A 20,673-nucleotide genomic window follows, 5' to 3' on the forward strand; every position below is an offset into this window, starting at 1 on the left:
CCCAAACCATTTCTTCAAGAAGAATACAAAACAACACTGACTTACTCATCCAATATTTACTAAGCATCATGATGTCCCAAGCACTGCACAGAGTGCCAAAGAGGCCCACCACACCTGCCCCACCGTCACAGATCTTCTCTGACTCTGTCCTCCTGAGAGCCTCCGAGGTGCCGGCTCCCAGGCTAGTTTACAGAGGCCCAGAGGCTTCCATTTGATACAGCTCTTCCAGAAAGAATCTTTTCCTGGCTCTTGACCCTCTTTGAAATCTTGAACTCATCCAAACTACAATCCCCAGAATGCCCTTACCTGATTCTGGGTGTCCACTATCAAGAGGTCTGGCTACTCACTGGCCTGGAGAAATATGAAATCTGTTTCTTGTTGATCTGTGCTATTGACTGAATGAATGTACCTCCCTCAAATTCACATGCTGAAGCTCTCATTCTAAACAAGTGGTATTTGCAGGTACAGTCTTTAGGATGTAATTATTAATAGGTATAGATGAGGTACTAAGGGTGGGGTCCCCATGATGAGATTTGTGGGGTTTTCATGCTTTGTTTTGAGACAAGGTCTTGCTCTGTTGACCAGGCTGGAGTGCAGTGGCTCAATCGTGACTCACTGCAGCCTTGACCTCCCTGTCTCAAGCCCTCCTCCCATCTTATGTTGGTTCTCACACTGCTGTGAAGAAACACCCGAGACTGGGTAATTTATAAAGGAAAGAGGTTTAATTGACTCACAGTTCTGCACTGCTGGGGAGGTCTCAAGAAACTTACAATCATGGCAGAGGCAAAGGAGAAACAGGCACCTTCTTCATAGGGCAGCAGGACCGAGTGAGTCCCAGCAGGGGAAATGCCAGACACTTATAAAACCATCAGATCTTATGAGAACTCACTCATTATCACAACAGCATGGGGGAAACCATCCCCATGATCCAATTACTTCCACCTGGTCCTGCCCTTGATTATGGGGATTATGGGGATTGCAATTCAAGGTGAGATTTGGGTGGGGATACAGAGTCAAACCATATCATACCTCAACCTCCCAAGCAGCTGGGATTACAGGCATGCCACTATACCTGGCTTTTTTTTTTTTTCTTTTTGTAGAAATGGAGTTTTGCTATGTTGCCCAGGCTGGTTCTCGAATTCTGGGGTTCAAGCAGTCCTCCCACCTTGGCCTCCCAAAGTGCTGGGATTACAGGCATGAGCCATTGCACCTGGCCAAATTCATGTTTTTATAAGAAGAGGAAGAGACCCATGCCCCTCTCTCTCTCTGCCATGTGATGATATGGCGAGAAGACAGCTATCTATAAGCTAGGAAGAGAGCACTTACCAGGAACTGAATTGGCCAGCACCTTGATCTTGGATTCCTCAGCCTGCAGAACTGTGAGAAATAAACATCTAAACATCTGTTGTTTAAGCCTCACAGTTGGTAGTGTGTTATAGCAGCCCTCTGACTAAGACAGTCTAGGTGGAAGTGCTTCAAGGGCAGGGACCGGATCTGTCTTCTGCACCTTCCACAGACCTACTACAGCCTTATAGATGGGCCATTGAGTCCTAGATGGGACCTAACTGAATGCTCTAATCATGCAGGGGAATGAAAAGGTGACATTTGCTGTCCTTTTTCAGGTCTGGATTTGCACAGCTAATTCCTAGGAGATAGTTCTCATCTCCCTGGGGACAGAGGCAGCTCTCTTCTTGAGCCCTCCCTCTCCTTAGCTGTTGAGGCAAAGACCAAAGAAAGTGTGGTCAGCCTGGATCCTGCAGTGAGGAGAGGAAACTGAGAGTAGCCGACTCCAAAGTCAAGCACATTTGAAGCACCACCAATAGCAGCTAAGAGAGGCGACTGCTGACAGCCAGATCCCAGGCCTCTGCCTCCTACACCAAAGCTCCCTGCACTGCACTGTGACCTCCCTACTTTGCTCTAGTGCTTGAGATCTTATCAGAACAGAACTAGCAGAGGCTTGGGCAAGGCAATGATTAGGGGGGAGAGAGGGAGAGAGAGAGAGAAAGAGAGAGAGAGATTGATTTGTGGTCAGTAAGAGAAGCAATTCTTAATCTTCTCAGAGTGAGGAAGGTGATCCATACCAGATGGTTAGGATACAGAGGGACAAGAACCAGCAAAGTTCCTGCCTTTGAGGAACGTATATAATTTAACAGAAGAAAAAAAAAACAGAACAACACATAAACAAAGAAAATGTATGCATGCATATTTGATTATTTTAAAGGTGCACCAATTCTACATGTTTTATAGCAGCACAGGCTGGGCTGTATGGGGTGAAATTACATGGGGTCTAGAATTTGTTACTCAAGTGCATCCCTGGGGACTAGCAGAAACAATTTCACCTGGGAGCTTGTTAGAAATGCAAATGCTCAGATTTTACCCCAGAATTACCAAATCAGAATTTGGAATTTAATGAGATCCTCAGGTGATTCGTTAGCACATTAAATATTGAGAATCACTTCTCAATATTCTACATGTTCTAACATGTAGAATCACTTCTCAATATTTAATGGTGGTGGGGAGAGCACTAATTTCACAAAGAGAAAAAGGAAAAGAAATCAGGGGAAGTAAGGCAAGTAGAGAGGAATATTGATAGCTGTTATATACCCAAAAGTATATATATCATTCTATTATAAAGATATATGTGGCCAGGCACAGCGGCTCACGCCTTTAATCCTAGAATTTTGGGAGGCTAAGGCGAGCGGATCACGAGGTCAGGAGATCAAGACCATCCTGGCTAACATGGTGAATCCCCGTCTCTACTGAAATTACAAAAAATTAGCCGGGCGTGGTGGTGGGCGCCTGTAGTCCCTGCTACTCGGGAGACTGAGGCAGGAGAATGGCGTGAACCCGGGAGGCGGAGCTGGCAGTGAGTCAAGACCACGCCACTGCACTCCAGCCTGGGTGACAGAGCGAGACTCCATCTCAAAAAAGAAAAAAAAAAAAAAAAAAAAAAAAATATATATATATATATATGCATGTATGTGTATGTTTATTGCACCACTATCCACAATAGCAAAGATGTGGAGTCAACCTAAATATCCATCAGTGATAGATTGGATAAAGAGAATGTGGTACATAAACACCATGGAATACTATGCAGCCATAAAAAAGAATGAGATCATGTCCTTTGCAGAGACATGGATGGAGCTGGAAGCCACTATCCTTAGCAAACTAACACAGGAACAGAAAACCAAACACCACATGTTCTCACTCATAAGTGGGAGCTGAACGATGAGAACACATGGACACAGGGAGAGGAACAACACATACTGGGGCCTGTCAGAAGAGGGGAGAAGTGGGGAGAGGGCGAAGTTCAGGAAAAATAGCTAACGTGTGTTGGGCTTAACACTTAGGTGACAGGTCAATAGGTGCAGCAAACCACCGTGGCACACATTTACCTATGTAACAAACCTGCACATTCTGCACTTGTACCCCAGAATTTAAAATAATAAAAAAGAAAAGAAAAGAGGTTGAATTGGCTCATGGTTCTTCAAGCTGTATAGGGAATCATAGCGACTTCTGCTTCTGGGGAGGCCTCAGGAAACTTACAATTGTGGTGGAAGGCAAAGGGGAAGCAGGCTCATCTCACAGGGCCTGAGCAGAAAGGAGAGAGAGAAGAGGGGGAGGTTCACACACTTTTAAATGACCACATCTCATGAGAACTCACTCTCACTATCACAAGAACAGCACCAACAGGGAAATCTGTCCCCATGATTCAATCACCTCCCAGCAGGCCCCATCTCCAACACTGGGGATTACAATTCAACATGAGATTTGGGTGGGGACACAGATCCAAACCATATCACTGTTGAAACTGGATCATGGGCATCTGGGATTTCACCATGCTAGTCTCTGCTTTTGTATCTGTTTTAAAATGTTTGAAGTAAAAAAATAAGTAAAAACGCACCAACGAATTGACAGGGGAAAGCTGAGCAAACCACGATCCAAGACAGCAGAACTTACCCTGCGACTTCCAGAGAGGCTAAAAGAAGGTCCAGGCTCCAAGTCACTAATGCCAACAGCTGTGCTGGCCTCAGGGATGGGGATGTCATCAGGAGATTTGTCAAGGGGCTGCATTTGGGATGCTGGGGATACCTGCAGCCTTAGAGAACAGAAGGCACTAACGCCAAGCAGGATGAATGAGAAAGATGCAGCTCTAGGTGAGATTTTTGGCATTCCAAAGATAAGCAAGAAATTTTGTACCAGGCACACTGGGCTCATGCCTGTAATCCCAACACTTTGGGAGGCCAAGGCAGGCGGATGACTTGAGGTCAGGAGTTTCAGATCAGCCTGGCCAACATGGTGAAACCCCGTCTCTACTACAAAAAAGAAAAATTAGCCAGGCGTGGTGGCAGGTGCCTGTAATCCCAGCCACTTGGGAGGCGAGGCAGGATAATTGTTTGAACCTGGGAGGTGGGAATTGCAGTGAGCTGAGATCACGCCACTGCACTCCAGCCTGGGCAACAAGAGCGAGACTCCACCTCAAAAAAAAAAAAAAAGAGAGAAAATTTTAAACGCTTCTGGAGAGCAAAAACACTGCCTACCAAAGTTATCCACCCTACCGAATGCTGTAGGAAATAGCAAGGCCTCTATCTTAAATGCCTAGCGCTGCTGTAATCAATGACCACAGACTTAATGGCTTAAAACAACACAGATTTACTCTCTTACAGTTCTGGAGGTGAGAAGCCTGAAATGAGTTTCATTAGACAGAAACCAAGCTGTCCGACTGCACACCGTCCAGAGGCTCCAAAGGACACTCCGCTTGGTTTCCTGGCCTTTTCCAGCTTCTAGAGCTGCATTCCTTACATTCCTTGGCTCCCGGCCTCTTCCTGCTTCAAAGCCAGCAGGAGCACAGAACATTGCTTCAGTAGTCACATCATCTTCTTCCTCTCTAGATGAATCTCCCTCTACCTCCCTCTAGGAAGGACTCTTGGGATTACATTTAGGGCCCTCCTGAATAGTCCAGGATAATCTCTCCCTCTCAAGTTCCATAATCACATCTACAAAGTCCCCTTTGCCATATAATGTTCACAGATTCCAGGAATTAGGACCTGGATATTTTAGGGGAACCATTGAGCCTCCCACAGCTTCTAAATTCCAAAGAAAAGCAGTTTTACCCAGGGTTCTATAGTTCCACAGTTTGGAAAACAGTTCGGTGGTTCATCAACAAATTAAGCATAGAATTACCATACGATCTAACAATTTCACTCCTAAGCATCTACCCAAAATAACTGAAAGCAGGCTGGGCACAGTGGCTCACGCCTGTAATCCCAGCACTTTGGGAGGCCAAGGCGGGTGGATCATGAGGTCAGGAGATCGAGACCATCCTGGCTAACAAGGTGAAACCCCGTCTCTACTAAAAATACAAAAAAAAAATTAGCCGGGCATGGTGGCGGGCGCCTGTAGTCCCAGCTACTCGGGAGGCTGAGGCAGGAGAATGGCGTGAACCCGGGAAGCGGAGCTTGCAGTGAGCCGAGATTGCGCCACTGCAGTCCGCAGTCCGGCCTGGGCGACAGAGCGAGACTCCGTCTCAAAAAAAAAAAAAAAAAAATACAAAAAAATAGTTGGGCATGGCCTGTAGTCCCAGCTACCTGGGAGGCTGAAGTGGGAGAATCACCTGAGTCCAGGAGGTCGAGGCTGTAGTGAGCTGTGATTGCACCACTGCATTCCAGCCTGGGTGACAGGGTAAGACCCTGTCTCAAAAAAAAAAAAAGTAAAAAGAATTGAAAGCAGAAACTCAAACAAATATTGATACACAAATGTTCACAGCAACACTATTCACCATAGCCAAAAGGTGGAAACAACCCAAATATCCATCAATTGATGACAGGATAAATAAAATATGGTGCATCCATACAATGGAATATCATTCAGCTGTGAACAAGGAATGACGCACCCATACATGCTACAACATGGATGAACCTTAAAAACATTTTGTTACATGAAGAAGCCAGACACAAAAGGCCACATGTTATATGATTCCCTTTATATTAAATGTCCACAACAAGCAAATCCACAGAGATAGAAAGCAGATTAGTAGTTGCTGGGGGTGGTGAGAGGGAGGAATGAGGGGTGACTGCTTAATAGATGGAAGGTTTCCTTTTAGGGTAAGGAAAAAATTCTGGAACTAGACAGCAGCGATGAGTGCATGATATTATGAATGCGCTTAACACCACTGATTTATACACTTTAAAATCATTAAAATGGTAAGTTTGGCATTAAAGAGAAAAAGAGTAGACACAGGAAATAATGATATCTAAGGATAAGTTAAGATCAAGGAAAGTGCAAACCAAATTATAAGAGAATCTGCTGACCCTGATGTTTAGAACATTCCCTTTGAGCAGTAAGGGTTTCCAGACATAGAATTGATTACATTCTCATCTCTACAGGCCTAATCACATCACTTGGTTCTGCAGTGAGTATTTCCACAATCTAAAATATATAAATGATATTTTTATTGGGCTTAAAATTTTAGAAATAACCTATGGAGAAATCATGAAAGACCATTATGGTAACAGAGTGAATATAAATGTTATGAACCTTGACAATGTAAGAATAATTATTTAACAAGAATTGGGTGCAGATGGGAAACACAGAAGAAAGTGTAAGTACATGGACTTCTTTATTTTTCATAGCAGAGATCAATACTTACAATCCAAAAGAAATAAATCAAGAAATAGATAGTAGGTTATTAAAACTTAAAAAGGCAATCTGTAGAAGAAATAAGAATAATGTCTGTAACTGCAAAATTCAGCAAGGGACAGGAGAGTTGGAAGGCAATAAAGTGTGCTCAATTCCTCAACTTTCTCAGCAGAGAGGCAACAAATATGTCCAAAGAAGATGAGTCAAGAAATAGAACTATATTTAAAGCTTCAATTGTTGATAGACATCTGTTTTTGTTTGGTGAGAACACCCCTCTTTCCCTGGGGATACCCATTTGCATGTGTGAGGTAGGGCAGACCTGCCCTTGTGGCCACAGGAGTGGTCACATGACCCATCCTGGCCAATCAGAACCTTCCCTGGGACTTTTTCACCAGCACTGTTGGGGAAGATGCTGATTTTAGGCCAGCACTGTCAAGTCAGGAGAATGGTACCCTGGGGCTTTCTGTATCCATCTGCCTGCTACTGGACACGAATCTGCATATAGACTGAAGCAACATCAGAGCTGATGACATTATTGAATCCCTGGATGTGCCTGAAGCATATATTATTCTTCAGATTTCTGTTATCTTACCCATTGAATTCTCTCCTACCTCTTTTTTTGAGACAGACTCTCACTCTGTCACGCAGGCTGGAGAGCAGTGGCATGATCTCAGCTCATTTGCCGCCTCAACCTCCTGGGCTCGAGTGATCCTCCCACCTCAGCCTCCCAAGTAGTTGGAACTACAGGCACATGCCACCAGGCCTGGCTAATTTCTGTATTTTTTGTAGAGGCAGGGTTTCATCATGTTGCCCAAGCTGGTCTTGATCTCCCAGGCTCAAGCAGTCCACCCATCTCAGCCTCCCAAAGTGCTGGGATTGTAGGCATGAGGCACCATGCCGAGCTTGAATTCCCCTTTTGCTTAAAAAAAAAAGGCTGGGAAAGCCATTTGGCTCATATGTTCTGCTAATGTGTGGTGCTAACCCAGGGAATCTTCTAGAAAGAAGAGGAGTTCACCAGCAAGGAATTCCAGGAAAAGGTGTTAGAACCACAGCCCAAATGGTGACCCTAAGGCTTTCAGGATCAGGCCACCAGTGTTTTTCAGTGGCCAGAACACCATCTGGTACAGTGATGGTCACAAGGGGTGTGATCAAAACTCGACATTTGGACGGCCAGCCAAAAGTCCAAATCCTGCTAGGAGCTATGCAACTTGGACAAAATTCTTAGCATCTCTGACCTTAGCCTCCTTGTTACCAAAATAGAGATAATACTATCTACCCCATGGGGTTGTTGAGATGGTGAAATAAAACAGGAAAACGTACTTTATAAACACTCTGGGGTTTCATTTTTTATGATGATTAGTTCAGTTCCTTGGTCAGTCAAACTGCTTCTGTTCTCTGACCACAGATTGCATCCTACCTAATTCTGCCCAACCACCCCACAAATATATATATGCCATAATTCCCAAGTGGTGAGGGTGAGGGAGTGTGAATGACTCACTGCAGCCCCTTCCAATCACTGGAATGAAAATAGCTCCCCCAGTAATCATGGGTCACTCAGCTACAATTGTCTTCATTTTCTCCTCCTGCTTCTCCTTCTTCTTCCTACTAGGTATTTGATCGTCCGGTCCTTTCTTCCTTTAACTCTATTTTGCATTTATAAATGCCACCCTCAGCCAGGCGCTGTGGCTGACACCTGTAATCCCAGCACTTTGGGAGGCCGAGGTAGGCGGATCGCGAGGTCAGGAGTTCGAGACCAGCCTGGCCAACATAGTGAAACTCCATCTCCAATAAAAACACAACAACAAAAAAATTAGCCAGGTATGGTGGCGGGCACCTGTAATCCCAGCTACTCGGGAGGCTGAGGCAGGAGAATTGCTTGAATCTGGGAGGTGGAGGTTTCAGTGAGCTGAGATTGCACCACTGCACACCGGCCCGGGCAACAGCGAGAGACTCCGTCTCAAAAAAAAAAAAAAGAAAATTTAAAAAAATAAATAAATGCCATCCTCATGCAGAAATGGGATATTTGAGGGAGCAGGGTATGATTCAGGTGATCTGTGCCTCTGGATATGGTAAGAAAAATCACTGTGGAAGGAATAGTAATGGCTCTCCACTAAGATAGTGTCACTTGTGAATTAAGTGGTGTCAGCCTCCTTTTGTAAATTTTTATGGGTTTTTTTTTCTTATTGTAAAAGTAATATTGTTTTTATAATATTTTTATTGCAAGTAATATAAGTAATATTGTTTATTGCAGCAAACACAGAAAGATAAAGAAGGAAATAAAAGTCACCCACAATCCCACAATCCAGATTTAAACCCTGTTAACATTTTGGCGGACTCTGTTCCATTCAGTTTTACTAACACCCCTGAAATCATATCACATATTGCATCCTGCTTTCTCCATTCAACATTATATTATGAGCATATCTCCATTTCATTAACAATTCTCAAAGATTTTTTTTGGCCAGTATCATACTCCAGAGTACCAAAATCTATTTAATCAAGCTCCTATTATTGAATATTTTAGGTACTTCTAGTTTTTCACTACTGATCACTCAGCATAAATGTTTTCATCAGTTCAATAAGAGGCTTTAACCATTTGTATGCATTGTCATAGCTGGCACATTTAGCCTTGCTGCTCTCTTCGTTCACAGTAACACATCCAGGATGCCAGGTGGCCAGTCCCAAGGGTGCCATCACCACCCACACATGAAACAGTCCCCCTTCCCCAAAGGCAAGGTATTTTCCAGACCTCCTTGGCCTCCTTGCTTCCAAACCTCACTGAAGGCCATGCCAGTCCTCCCTGATAGATCTCCCCCAAGTTGTGTGTCGCTGGCAGCAGAAGCTGTGGTCTCTGCTCTGTTCTCCTAAAAGGCTCTGGGTTGCTTATGCAAATAAGTCCCCTCCCTCTCAGCTCCCAGTTCCAGAAGATAAATGTGTAGTTTTCTAAATCACCTCAAACCAGGTCTTCCACTCTAACCCGAGTAATAGGTGCCTACTGATTCTGCATAAGTGAGCCACTCCATCTGTCTTCCCCACAAGGGAAGAGGGCAGTGGAGGAGGTTAGAGGGCCAGGGAAGACCAGCCAGAAAGATCCTGGAGCGAGTGTCCCACCCTACAGGTCAGGAGATGGAGCTCACATTGAGGGAAGGGTGGCATGGCTCCACATTCACGCCTTTTCTCATGATCTGTGCCCCTGTCCGCAGAACATATCCACCACATTCCATTATTCCAGGGTCCAGGCTAGGAAAGAGGGAACATGGGCTCTAACTGCAGCTCTGCCACTAGTGTGCTTTGTGACACTGGGAAAGTACCTTTCCCTCTCTGAGCTGTCAGGAAGGGAAGGGTGACCAAATGATTCTCAAAGGCCCTCCAGGGTCTGATGGCTGAGCTTGAGCCCCACAAAGAATATTCTACCTGCAAGAACACGTGGTGAAGGGAGGCAGCCTGCTTCCCAGGGTCTAGCTGAGGCAGGGGCTGTGCTGAGGGATACACCCACTTCCTCCTCCTCAGCCTTTCCATTAAGGGCCCTGGGGCATGAGGCTCACAAAGCACCTTGGAAAGCAGTAGGCTTGAGGCCAAAAGGTGAGGTGGAGACAGCTATCTCCACATCCTCCCACAAACAATGGGAATAGTGGTCACAGGGCCGCTGGGGGACTTGCATGAAATGATGGAAGAGGTAAAAGTTTCAAAGAGTGAATGCTTCTTGTCAGGAAGACCCAGGAGCCAGCTCAAAGGGTCTCCTGCTGGCCAACCTTAGACAAGGTGGGCATCAACATAAGGAATGATAGTAATGGATTATAACTCACAGACTCAAATAAAACTGTAAGTCTGTACAGATGGAAATAAGTGAATTAATTGAAAAGTTAAATTGAAAGTTTGATGCAAGAAGGGGATATTGTCATAGTTTCAAAGCACCTCCACAAAATAATTACTAATTACAAAGATAAAAGAAGGAACAGACACCATGTACATCAAGTGATCAAAATGAACACCAGTAGTAATGCAACATATCCAAACTCACACAACCTGGTAGAAGGTACTGAGACGACGTATCGCTTCTGGGATATGCTTCCTAAGAAGCATGATCTGGATCTGATTGCGAGGAACCATCAGGCAAACCTCGATGAACGGACATTCTGGGAAATAATGGCAAAAATGCCAAGGTCATGAAAGTTTAGAAAAGAGTGAGGAACAACTGTTCCAGGCTGAAGGAGCTTAGAGATGGCTACATGCAACAGATGTGATACTCACCCCGGGAAGAGTGAGGAACTGATCCAGGCTGAAGGAGACTAGAGACATGATGGCTGGATGCAACACTCGTGATACTGACCCCGGGAAGAGTGAGGAACTGATCCAGGCTGAAGGAGAATAGAGATGGCTACATGCAACACTTGTGATACTGATCCCAGAAAGAACGAGGAACTGTTTCCAGGCTAAAGGAGACTAGAGACATGACAGCTGGGTGCAACACACGATACTGATCCCAGATCCTTTGGCTGTGAAGGACAATTATTGGGATGTTTGGGGAAACCTGGGTGGAGTCTGAATTAGACAGTAGTAATGTATCAATGTGAATGCTCCGATGGCAATGGTTGCTGTGGTAGGGAGCCTTTGAGATGGCCCCCAGTGAACCTCACCCCCTGTATTCACTCCCTTGACTGAGAATATCGCAGAAGAGATGGGGAGTCACTTCCAAGAGCAGGTTCCAAAAAGACTGTGGTCTTTTTGACTGCTATACTGTGGAAAGCCCTAAGAGGTTTTCCCATCACGGTGATGAACACAGGCCCTCAGCCCAACAGCCCAGGAGGAACTGAAGCCTCCTAACGACCAGTTCAGTGAACTTGGACGTGGGTCCTTCAGACCCAGTCAGGTCAGAACAACTGCAGCCCTGGCCGACAGTGTGACTGCATCTCATGGGAGACTTCTAGCCACTGGTTAAGTTGTGCCTGTGAAACAATCAATGCTTTTTGTTTTGAGCTGCTAACTTTGGGGGTCATTTGTTACACAGCAATAGGTAACTAATACAGTTACCCATTATTATATGATTATGTAGGAGAATGTCCATATTTGTATGAAAGACACACTATTCAGGTGTACTGAGGTATCAGATGGCACATAATTCTCAAATGGTTCAGGAATAGAAAGTTCTTTGTACCATATCTGCAACTTTTCTGTATGTCTAGGATTGTTTCAAAATTAAGACATCTATTGTAAAAAGCAGCAATGTGCCCTAGGAACATGAAGGAAAGGAACTCTGTTCTGGAAGGTCAGCACTCAGGGTACAGAGGAGTAGACGTAGTGGTGGGACTTCAGACACTGTGGTCTCTTTCTGAAATACAAACCACCCTCCTGCCTTAGACCCTTCAATGACTCCTGCTGTCCTCAGGATAAAGCCCAACTTCCTGAGCCTGGCATTCAAGGCCACCAGACCCTCCCTATGGACGGCATCCAGCCTGCCTCGTGCATTCCCTTTAACATTTCACACTCCAGACAGTGCCCATGCAAGCAGCTCCCGGAGGCCATGCTGTTTCTCCCCTTTGTGTTTTGCTCTGCCTTGAATGCCCCACTCCCCTTCTTTCCTGGACAATCCCTAACCAACTTCTGAGACTCACCTTAAGAGCCACCTCCTCCACATCCCATGTATCACCAACCCCCTCTCCTTCCCCAATGACAGCACAGCAAGTAGCACATGTTGTAAGGAGGGTCCATCTCCTCCATCTGACTGTGAGCCCAGCAAGGGCCAAAGCCCTATCCAGTTCCCCATAGGCACTCAGCACCCAGCCAGCCCCAGCATAGCACACAGTAGGTGCTCAGTTTTAAGAGCCCACAGCCTGACCAAGGCATGGTTAGGGATGGGAGGCCCATAGTCACACTCCATGGGGACCACCCACTCCAAAACTCAGAGCAGTCCAGCCTGGAGTCAGTGTTGGGGGGCCCCGGACACAAGTCCCCAGAAGTAGCCTCCCTGCCATGGGCCCTTAGACCTGGCACTGCCTTGCAAAGGCCCCTGGGGATTTCAGGCCCTGCAAAGGAGTAATTTGTACTTCAGGCTCGCTAATGAATCCCTGAACAAAGGAATTAATTACTGTCTGTCAAAATTAGACTTCTCCCTTCCTTCGAGATGCATCTTCTTTTTATTCTTAATTAATTTTTAAAATTACGATGTCAGTGCAAAGTCTAATTTATTTTACTTTTAGCGTTATTTCTCTGATAAGCAATTTCATTTTATGCCAGGCGCCCTCCTCGGCACCACTTTGTCACGTCAGCTCTCACTTCGAGGGGCTGTGGCAGACCTCCCAGAGCAAGCACCAGAGGCCTCAGATGAGCTGTTCCCCCTCCTGGGCCTCAGTCTCCCCGATGAGAAATGAATGCGTGGCACTAACGCGGTTCCACGAGCTTATCCCTCCCTCCATCGCAGGATCTACGTGAGGCCTGTGGCCTCATGAATGCACAGCCCTCGAGCATTTATCAAGGGCTTCTGCACTCTTCATAGCACGGACCCCCCCACAAAAACCCTTTTAAAGCCAAGCCTGTCTTCCCCACTTTACAGGTGAGGAAACTGAGCCTCACAGAGAAGAAATTGCTAGGACATGTTGGAAAAAATGCTCCCAACCCAGGCTCTGACTCCAGATCTTCACCCTGGTACCTAGATGGGGTCTGTTGCAAATGGTGACTTGGAGGTCTCTGATTAGACCTAGATGCTGCCTGGACAGGTCCTACATGACACCATTTGAGTCTGCCCAGTGCTCTGGTAAATGTCTCCCCCCTCCCACCCTTGTGTGGGGATCTGCTCCCCTTAACTCAGCTCCCCACACCCTGCCCTTGTGAGGAGTCCAAATGAGAGGTGCTTGCTTCACCCAGGACCCTACTCTCAGCCACGGGGGTGTTTGCTGGGTAGACTCACGACTCGGTTGGAGCCACTTGGTTCCTTCCCTGGGATTGTTCTCACAGCTGCAGGCAGAGAGCATTTTCCTCTCTGGTTATGAAGCTGAGAATGTGTGAGCATGGGCCGAGGCTTACACCTGGAATCCCAACACTTTTGGGAGGTGAGTGAATTCCTTGAGCTCAGGAGTTCTAGACCAGCCTGGGCAACATGGTGAAACCCTGTCTCTTCAAAAAAAATACCAAAAAAAAAAAAAATAGCTGGGCACGGTGGGGCACACCTGTAGTCCCTGCTACTTGGGAGGCTGAGGTGGGAGGATCGCTTGAGCCCAGGAGGTGAAGGTTGCAGTGAGCCGAGATTGTGCCACTGCACTCCAGCCTGAGTGATAGAGGGAGACCCTGTCTCAAAAAAATAAAAATAAAAAAGAAGAAGACAGTGTGAGCATGGATGCTGCTCCACTATGTGGCCCCCACTCCCAGCCCACCTAGGAGAGATGTGAGTCGCCTGTAGAGGTACGGAGCACTGAGTAGCATGGAGAGGTCCTGCTTCCAGCCCCTTCTGAGGCTGCCCCACCCTTGCCCCTCCCAGTTGGTTACACAAGACACTTAAACCCCTTCCAGGTCTAACTTCCTTTGAATGGGGTTTCTGTCACTTGTCACCCAAGAGTTCCAAGTGGTATGATTGGGCTCATAGAGCTGGGAGAAAGGAGGAGCTCAGCCTGATGTGGCGGGAACTGTCTCCAGTGGATTGATACTAAGCCCGGTGGGGGAAGGGGCTAGAAGTGGATGTTCTGCAACCTGGAGATGACTTGTCCCTGCCTCACCCCAGGATGAAGCCATGGGTATACGAAGCCCTCAGTCAGGCTCAGGCCCCACTGCCCATCCGGGCTCATCTCCCACCCTGCCATCTTTCACGCACAGCCTCACCACAGCACCCCGTCATGTCTCGTGGGGATGGGACCTCACCATTCTCCTTGCCTCCACGCTTTTGCATACTGTGCCCCTAGGCCAGCCCCTCCTACCACCACCTGCCTACTTGTTATAGACAACACCTCCTCTGGAAGACCCCTCTGGACTCACCACTCCTCAGTCTGCCATGGCAGTCAGCCTATTGCTGCTCGTAGCACCTGAGCTGGAATTGTCAGCACATGCTAGTCCCCTAGGATGCTGTGAGCTATTTAAGGACCACATATCAGCCTCCCCAGTGCCCAGCCCTGGGCCTACCATAGGGAGAGTGTCACTCATCAACAAGTATCTACTGAGCAGCGGACACCATTCTAGGTGAGCAACACAGAGGAGTCCCTGCCCTCATGGAGTTTATAGTCTATGGCGGGAAAACATGACCAAGGATAAGCATAACACATACAAAAATCACACAGCACGAAGCCAGCTAAGTGGCACCAGGTACACAGGGGCAGGTTGGGATTATGAATAGGGATGGGTGGTCAGTGTAGTCCTGATTGAGACGGTGACTTCAAGGAGGTGAGAGGCTAGGCCACACGGATGTCTGCGGAAAGGGGATTCCAGCAGAGAAAGCGGCCAGTCTTTGAAGCAGAGGATGTCGGGCGTGCTTAGGGAAAAGCAAGGGAGCCCCACGGCCAGTCTGGAGGGAGTGGAGAAGGAGGGGAGAAGGGCTGGTGGCTCCTGGGAAAGGCAGGCATATTTGGCTAAGAAGCTCAAGAAGTTCTTGTTGAACAAATCGAATTGAAATTTGAAAAGATTCTTGTAGTCTAGGTAGCAAGAACTACATGAATAATGAAAATGGGGGAATGTCAGTGAAATTTCATGGCTATATGATCAGAGCACAACTGGCGGGAGGACGTCAGGGGAGGTCTGAGAAGCAGTGCCTCCAGCCAGGATGCGGGACTTGTGTCCACCTTGGGGGCAGAGTGGGGAGCAGGAGCACAGGCGGCAGAGGCTGGATTTGTTTCCTAGGGCTGCTGGAACAAAGCGCCACACACTCAGCAGCTTGGAATAACGGAAGTCTATTCTCTTGCAGTTCTGGAGGGCAGAGGTCTGAAACCCAGGTGTCAGCAGGGCCGTGCTCCGTCTGAGGCTCGGGGTGGAATCTGTCCCTGCCTCGTGGCTTGTGGTCACGTGGCCATCTTCTTGCTGTGTCTGCATCTTCACATGGTGCTCTTCTCCCCTCTCTCCCGTTTCTTACAAGGACACCGGCCATACTGGACCAAGGGTCCACCCTGCTCCAGTATGACCTCATCTTAACTAATTACATCGGCAACGACCCCATTTCCAAACAAGGTCACATTCTGAGGTACTAGGGGTTAGGACTTCAACATATCTTTTGGGGTGACACAATTCAATCCATACCAGAGGCTTAACCTCCCAGGGACCCAGTGGGTGACTCTGGTGCTCCACTGAGCCTCTCTGGACCTCGGTCTGTCCCCTTGTAAGACCAAGAGGCTGACACGTCATCCCTCAGGCACGCAGCTTGCGTCTCTCCAGCTCCTTTTGAAGAATCTTCTCTCCTCTTCTCACTGCGCCACCTCTGATCTCCAGCGCAGCAGCGTGGGGACAGGAGCTCAGATGATTCCTAACTCTATCTTCACCATAAAACAAATATTTTGAAAAGCCTTTTGATGTCACTTTAATGGAGTGTGGAAAACACCGTTCAACCCCCCGCATTTTTAATTTCATCCTTTTTGCTATTTTTTTTTCTCTTTTAAAGCTTGTGTTTGCTTTCATGTTACACGTTATTTATTTAGTTGCTTGTCAATTAGTGTCTATTCTCCAAGCGACAAGCACATTAGCAGCTGCAGAGATTGGAATTAAAATTCGCGGCCCAGTTGGTGCTACAGTAGCTGGGCCTACCCGACTGAGAAAACAGCACCTCTTTGTCATTTCAAAAGATGACCTTCCTCTGGCTTCTTCCTGTTTCTGGCTTCAGATTTAATTCCTACTGACTCCTCCGTGGTCACCGCACGGGCGTGATGGCTTTAAGATGGATTTTTTTCAAATGCACAAAGGAAGATGTGGGCTCCCGTTAACAGCAGCCTTTGATGATGGTTACTGTAAAACAGGAGTCGGCTGGATTTGAATAACACGCTCTAAATTGCCACTCTGAGGATTTTAACTCAGACAGCCTAATACTCCACACCTCCACTCAGCAGTTCAGCAAACATTTAGTGAGGTGACACGACGTAGTAGAAACAGTCAAACAGATCTGGCTGCACTATCAGCTCCTCGATTTACTGGGTACATGACTCTAAGCAAGTGGATTAACCTCACTGAGCTTTATTTATTCTTCTGAAAAATGGGAGAATTAAACCCAGCCACACAGTGATGTTGTAAGAACTGAGACTGTGTGTAGAGCTTTGCAATCCGAGCTTCCATGTCTGACTCCTCCAATGAACCAGAGGCATTTGCTTACATGGGTTAATGTCACAGCCAGCAGGACTTTGGAGAAAAAGACTCATGAAGCTGAGGCTCCATGGCTCTGGGGTGGAGATAGGAGGAGACTGTCTCCAGCCCAGCCCAGGCCTAGATCTGACCGCCGTTCACTTCAAGGCTGCAGGCAGAAGGCAGAGGAACTGTGATAACCCAGCCCAAGCAGGGTGGCTTCAGAACCCAATGACAAGGCAGGCAACCTGGGAGAGCAGTATTTTCTCATTTTCTGTTCTCAATATGCTACTGCACAGATCCAGGCAATGGAGGTATTGGGATGACTTTTCTCTGCTCACATCCCCTTTCCACTAGGATCCCCTGTCCTGTCCCCGCCCAGTTAGATCCTAACACCAGCTCCCCTCTACCACCCTCCCCTACCCCGCACTCCAGCCCCTTTTGCCATAACACATTTCCCCTCTAACAGAGGAGACCATGGGCTTATTACAGGCGTCCACTGCTAAAATCTAAGCAGGGGCCTTTGTTTTATCCCAAGGGCCCAGGACAGTGCCTACTCTGTAAATATTTGTGGAAAGATGACAACTGCAGGTGATGGGGCCTGACTTATGGCAGAGCGGGGAGATGCAGTGAGGAGCACAAACCAAAGCAATGTTTAGGAGGAAGATATTCTTAACTTGCTCTGTGCAGCAGGAGCCTCAGGGGCTCTTTTCAAAAACAAGAAGCCCTGCACCTTGCCACAGACTCATCACACCGCAGTCTGTGGGACCAGGATTCTGATCCTCATGCTGAAGAGTCCCTGGTAATTCCAACGCAGCCAGAGCTGAGAACAGCCAGGGTTCTCGATGCAGCTGAGATGGAGAGACACAGGCTGAGAAGACACGAGTGCTGATCCCAGCTCTGCCTCCAGCTCGGGGTGTGATCTCGGGCAAGCACTCGCCACACTCAGGGACTCATTTTTCCCATCTGGACCAGGAAGGGGTTGAGGCACTGGTTTTCACGGGATGTCCCTTGAAGCCCTAATGTTTGGTAGAGGGACCTCAGAGTGGGGGTGAGGCTTAGTGTGCTCCCAAGCACTCAGGACCCTGGGGGGCCCATCTTGGCTTGCCCTAGAGCTGACCCATCTGCTTTGTATATTGGGGTTCCACACAAGATTTCTTTTTGAACAAACGGTTCCAATTCACAGGTGTTTGGGAACCACAGGCTGGACACTGGCTGGGACTTGGGAGATGCTGGCGTTACCAGCTCTGGCCTCAGGGCTTCACCTTCTCCATCTGTCTAATGTGGGGTGGACCCAATCACCCCAAAGTGCCTTCTCACCTGGGAAGTTGGGGTATTCCAGTTTCATGGTAGCAGGAGTGTTGGGAAGAAGAAAGGGAACTGGGTGAAGACAGGAGACAGTGTCTGCTGAAGGACAACTATCATCACACAATATAACACTCTAATGGTGGAGTCTTTTATATGAGAATAGATATTATGGAGCACAGTTCCATCAAATGAATATAATAGAATACAATGCACACTGTAATTACACATTTCAATAATTCCTTCAATACATTACATACAAGCATTCTGAAGTAATGGAGTCCTGGAACCATATATAATAACGTGCCTAAAGGGAGACCCTATGGGTGGTGACAGGCCTCCCAGCCGGCAGGGAGAAGCAAAACCTCCTCCAATCCTGGGCCACGTGGCTTCTCACTCTAATCTCTGAAGACTCTCTGGAGGAAGTCCTTGGTCCAAGCACCTGCCCACTGAGAAGAAATCCCTTCTACAACATCATCAACAGCTAGCAGACAGCCTCTGTAACATATCTCCAGGGATGGGGAGCTCACTACCTCACAGGTTATCTATTCAGTGGCCCCTGTCATTAGGAAATTACACACTACAAGCATATACATATCATCTCTAAATTTATATGATCAAACTTGTACTGACTGAGGCACGAGATTCATTTGCTACCGCTGTCATAACAAATCAGCACAAACCTTGTGGCTTAAAACAACACACATTTATTATCATCTTACAGTTCCATAGGCAGAAGTCTGACATGGGTCTCACTGGGTTAAAATCAAGGAGTAGGCAGGACTATGCTGTTTTTCTGGGGCCTTTAGGGGAGATTCTGTTTCCTGCATTTTCCATCTTCCCGAAGTCACTTATGTTCCTTGACTCTTGGCCCCTCCCTCTGTCTTCAGCCACTCTCTGATCCTTTCCCTGGTGTCACATCTCTCTCTGGCCACAGCTGGGAAAGGTTCTTCTCCCTTAAGGAACCATGGAATTAGAGTGGGCCTACCTGGATAATCCAGAAAGATCTCCCATCTCAAGGTCTTTAACTTTAATCACCTCTGTAAATTCCCTTTTGTCATATAAAGTAACATATTCACAGGTTCCGGGATTAGAGTATGGACATCTTTAGGGGCTGTTGTTCTGCCTACCACAGGCGCTATTTTATCATTACAATACCTGACTTATTGTGACTTCCTCTTCATCTGTACAAAGGAGATCATAATGCTTTATGGCATTAAATGTGACTATACACCTGTAGTGCCTGGCATATACATGTTTGACGAATGGCAAGCAAATTCAGTGAACTGAGGTGAAAGTATCAATGATATGATCCACTTTGTCAATATCCTTCCTAAAGCAAGGCACAGGAAATGATCACAAGGCCCACAGAACAGTTGGACAAGTCATGGAGGTCTGACAAGAGCCAAATAATTCACCTCTCTTGTTTGGACTCTGTATCTCTATTAATGCAGCCAAGGCATCGTTAGCATTTTAGACTTCTTCTTTGGTCTCAGTTAACTTAGTTGCTTGTAGTCAATTAAGACCCTAAGACCATCTCCAGTTACAAGGGATCATACCCCTGTTATAGGGAGACGAATTGAGGCATAAAGGATGAAGGCCCAGAGGTGATGCCTGAGGTAAAGATGAGTGGGAGTGAGTCAGGCCCAGGATGTGGGTGACGGACATTTCAGAACAGTAGACGCAGGTGCAAAGCCCAGAGCTGCAGGATGCCGAGGAGATGGTCTCAGGGGCCTGCAAGAAGTGTGGCAAGAATAGCAACTTCATGGATGGGGGCCGGGGAGATCATCAAGGACAAGCCCCGATCTATGGGAGATGAAGGCCAAGGCCAGATGGGAAGGCTTGGATGCAGTGGAGGAGTGGGGACTTGGTCTTGGGAGGGTTTGCAAGCAGAGAAGTGACATGATTGTCTTGCAATTGACAAGATCATCCTGGATGTGGGCAGAGACAGTGAGGGGTGGGTGCATGCGCAGGAGACAGGGAGACCCGTGAGAAGACTGCTTCCTTCACCCAGGCCGGAGGCGCCCAGGCTGGCTGCAGGCAAGCGGTGTTTAAGTAGGAGGTGGACATGGAGAGGAGAGGAGAGGAGAGGATACGACAGAGTGGAAAGAAGAAGGAAGCAGAATCCGCTGGGCTGGGGGGAGGACAGGATGGCCTGTTGCAGAGCCTGGAGGAGCTCTGAACTCAAAGACAGGGAACTCTCCAGGGAGGAGGAGGCTTGGGTAGAAAAAAGTCGTTACCCCCACCTTAAAGGTGAGGCTGGAAACTGAGGCTGGGAGAGTTCAAATCACCTCTGTTTCTGTGACACAGCCCCTTGCTAGGCAGTTGCTTGGACCACTGTCCTGTCTCCAGACAGAGGAGCTGCCTGCGGCTGGGTCACTGGCTCACTAGAGGTGGGGCCAGGAGACTGCAGGTAAAACAGGAGTCCCAGGTAGTCCCCGGGGAGGCCACCCCCTGGCCTCATCTGAGTAGGAGGCCGGGTTCCTT

At 47.4% G+C, this 20,673-nt stretch overlaps 1 long non-coding RNA gene across 1 annotated transcript in view, besides 2 other annotated features; it reads right to left on the minus strand.

Moving 5' to 3' along the window:
• The window catches only part of LOC105376253 (uncharacterized), a 44,641-nt gene extending 39,785 nt beyond the window's left edge, over positions 1 to 4,856 (minus strand). Inside the window, exon 1 of the long non-coding RNA XR_002956934.2 lies at positions 4,669 to 4,856. This is a non-coding gene — a long non-coding RNA (uncharacterized LOC105376253). The remainder of the gene's footprint in view (positions 1 to 4,668) is intronic.
• Positions 6,858 to 7,058: a silencer, noted in NCBI's record as "peak7326 fragment used in MPRA reporter construct". NCBI's record gives its function as "represses an SCP1 promoter by STARR-seq MPRAs in K562 erythroleukemia cells {active_cell/tissue: K562}" and the evidence as "EXISTENCE:reporter gene assay evidence [ECO:0000049][PMID:32103011]".
• Positions 18,510 to 18,718: a silencer, noted in NCBI's record as "fragment chr9:123142787-123142995 (GRCh37/hg19 assembly coordinates)". NCBI's record gives its function as "represses an EF-1alpha promoter that drives an FKBP-Casp9 reporter gene in an ReSE screen in HepG2 liver carcinoma cells {active_cell/tissue: HepG2}" and the evidence as "EXISTENCE:reporter gene assay evidence [ECO:0000049][PMID:32094911]".

Source organism: Homo sapiens, chromosome 9 (assembly GCF_000001405.40).
Source record: "Homo sapiens chromosome 9, GRCh38.p14 Primary Assembly".
Classification (NCBI taxonomy): domain Eukaryota; kingdom Metazoa; phylum Chordata; class Mammalia; order Primates; family Hominidae; genus Homo; species Homo sapiens.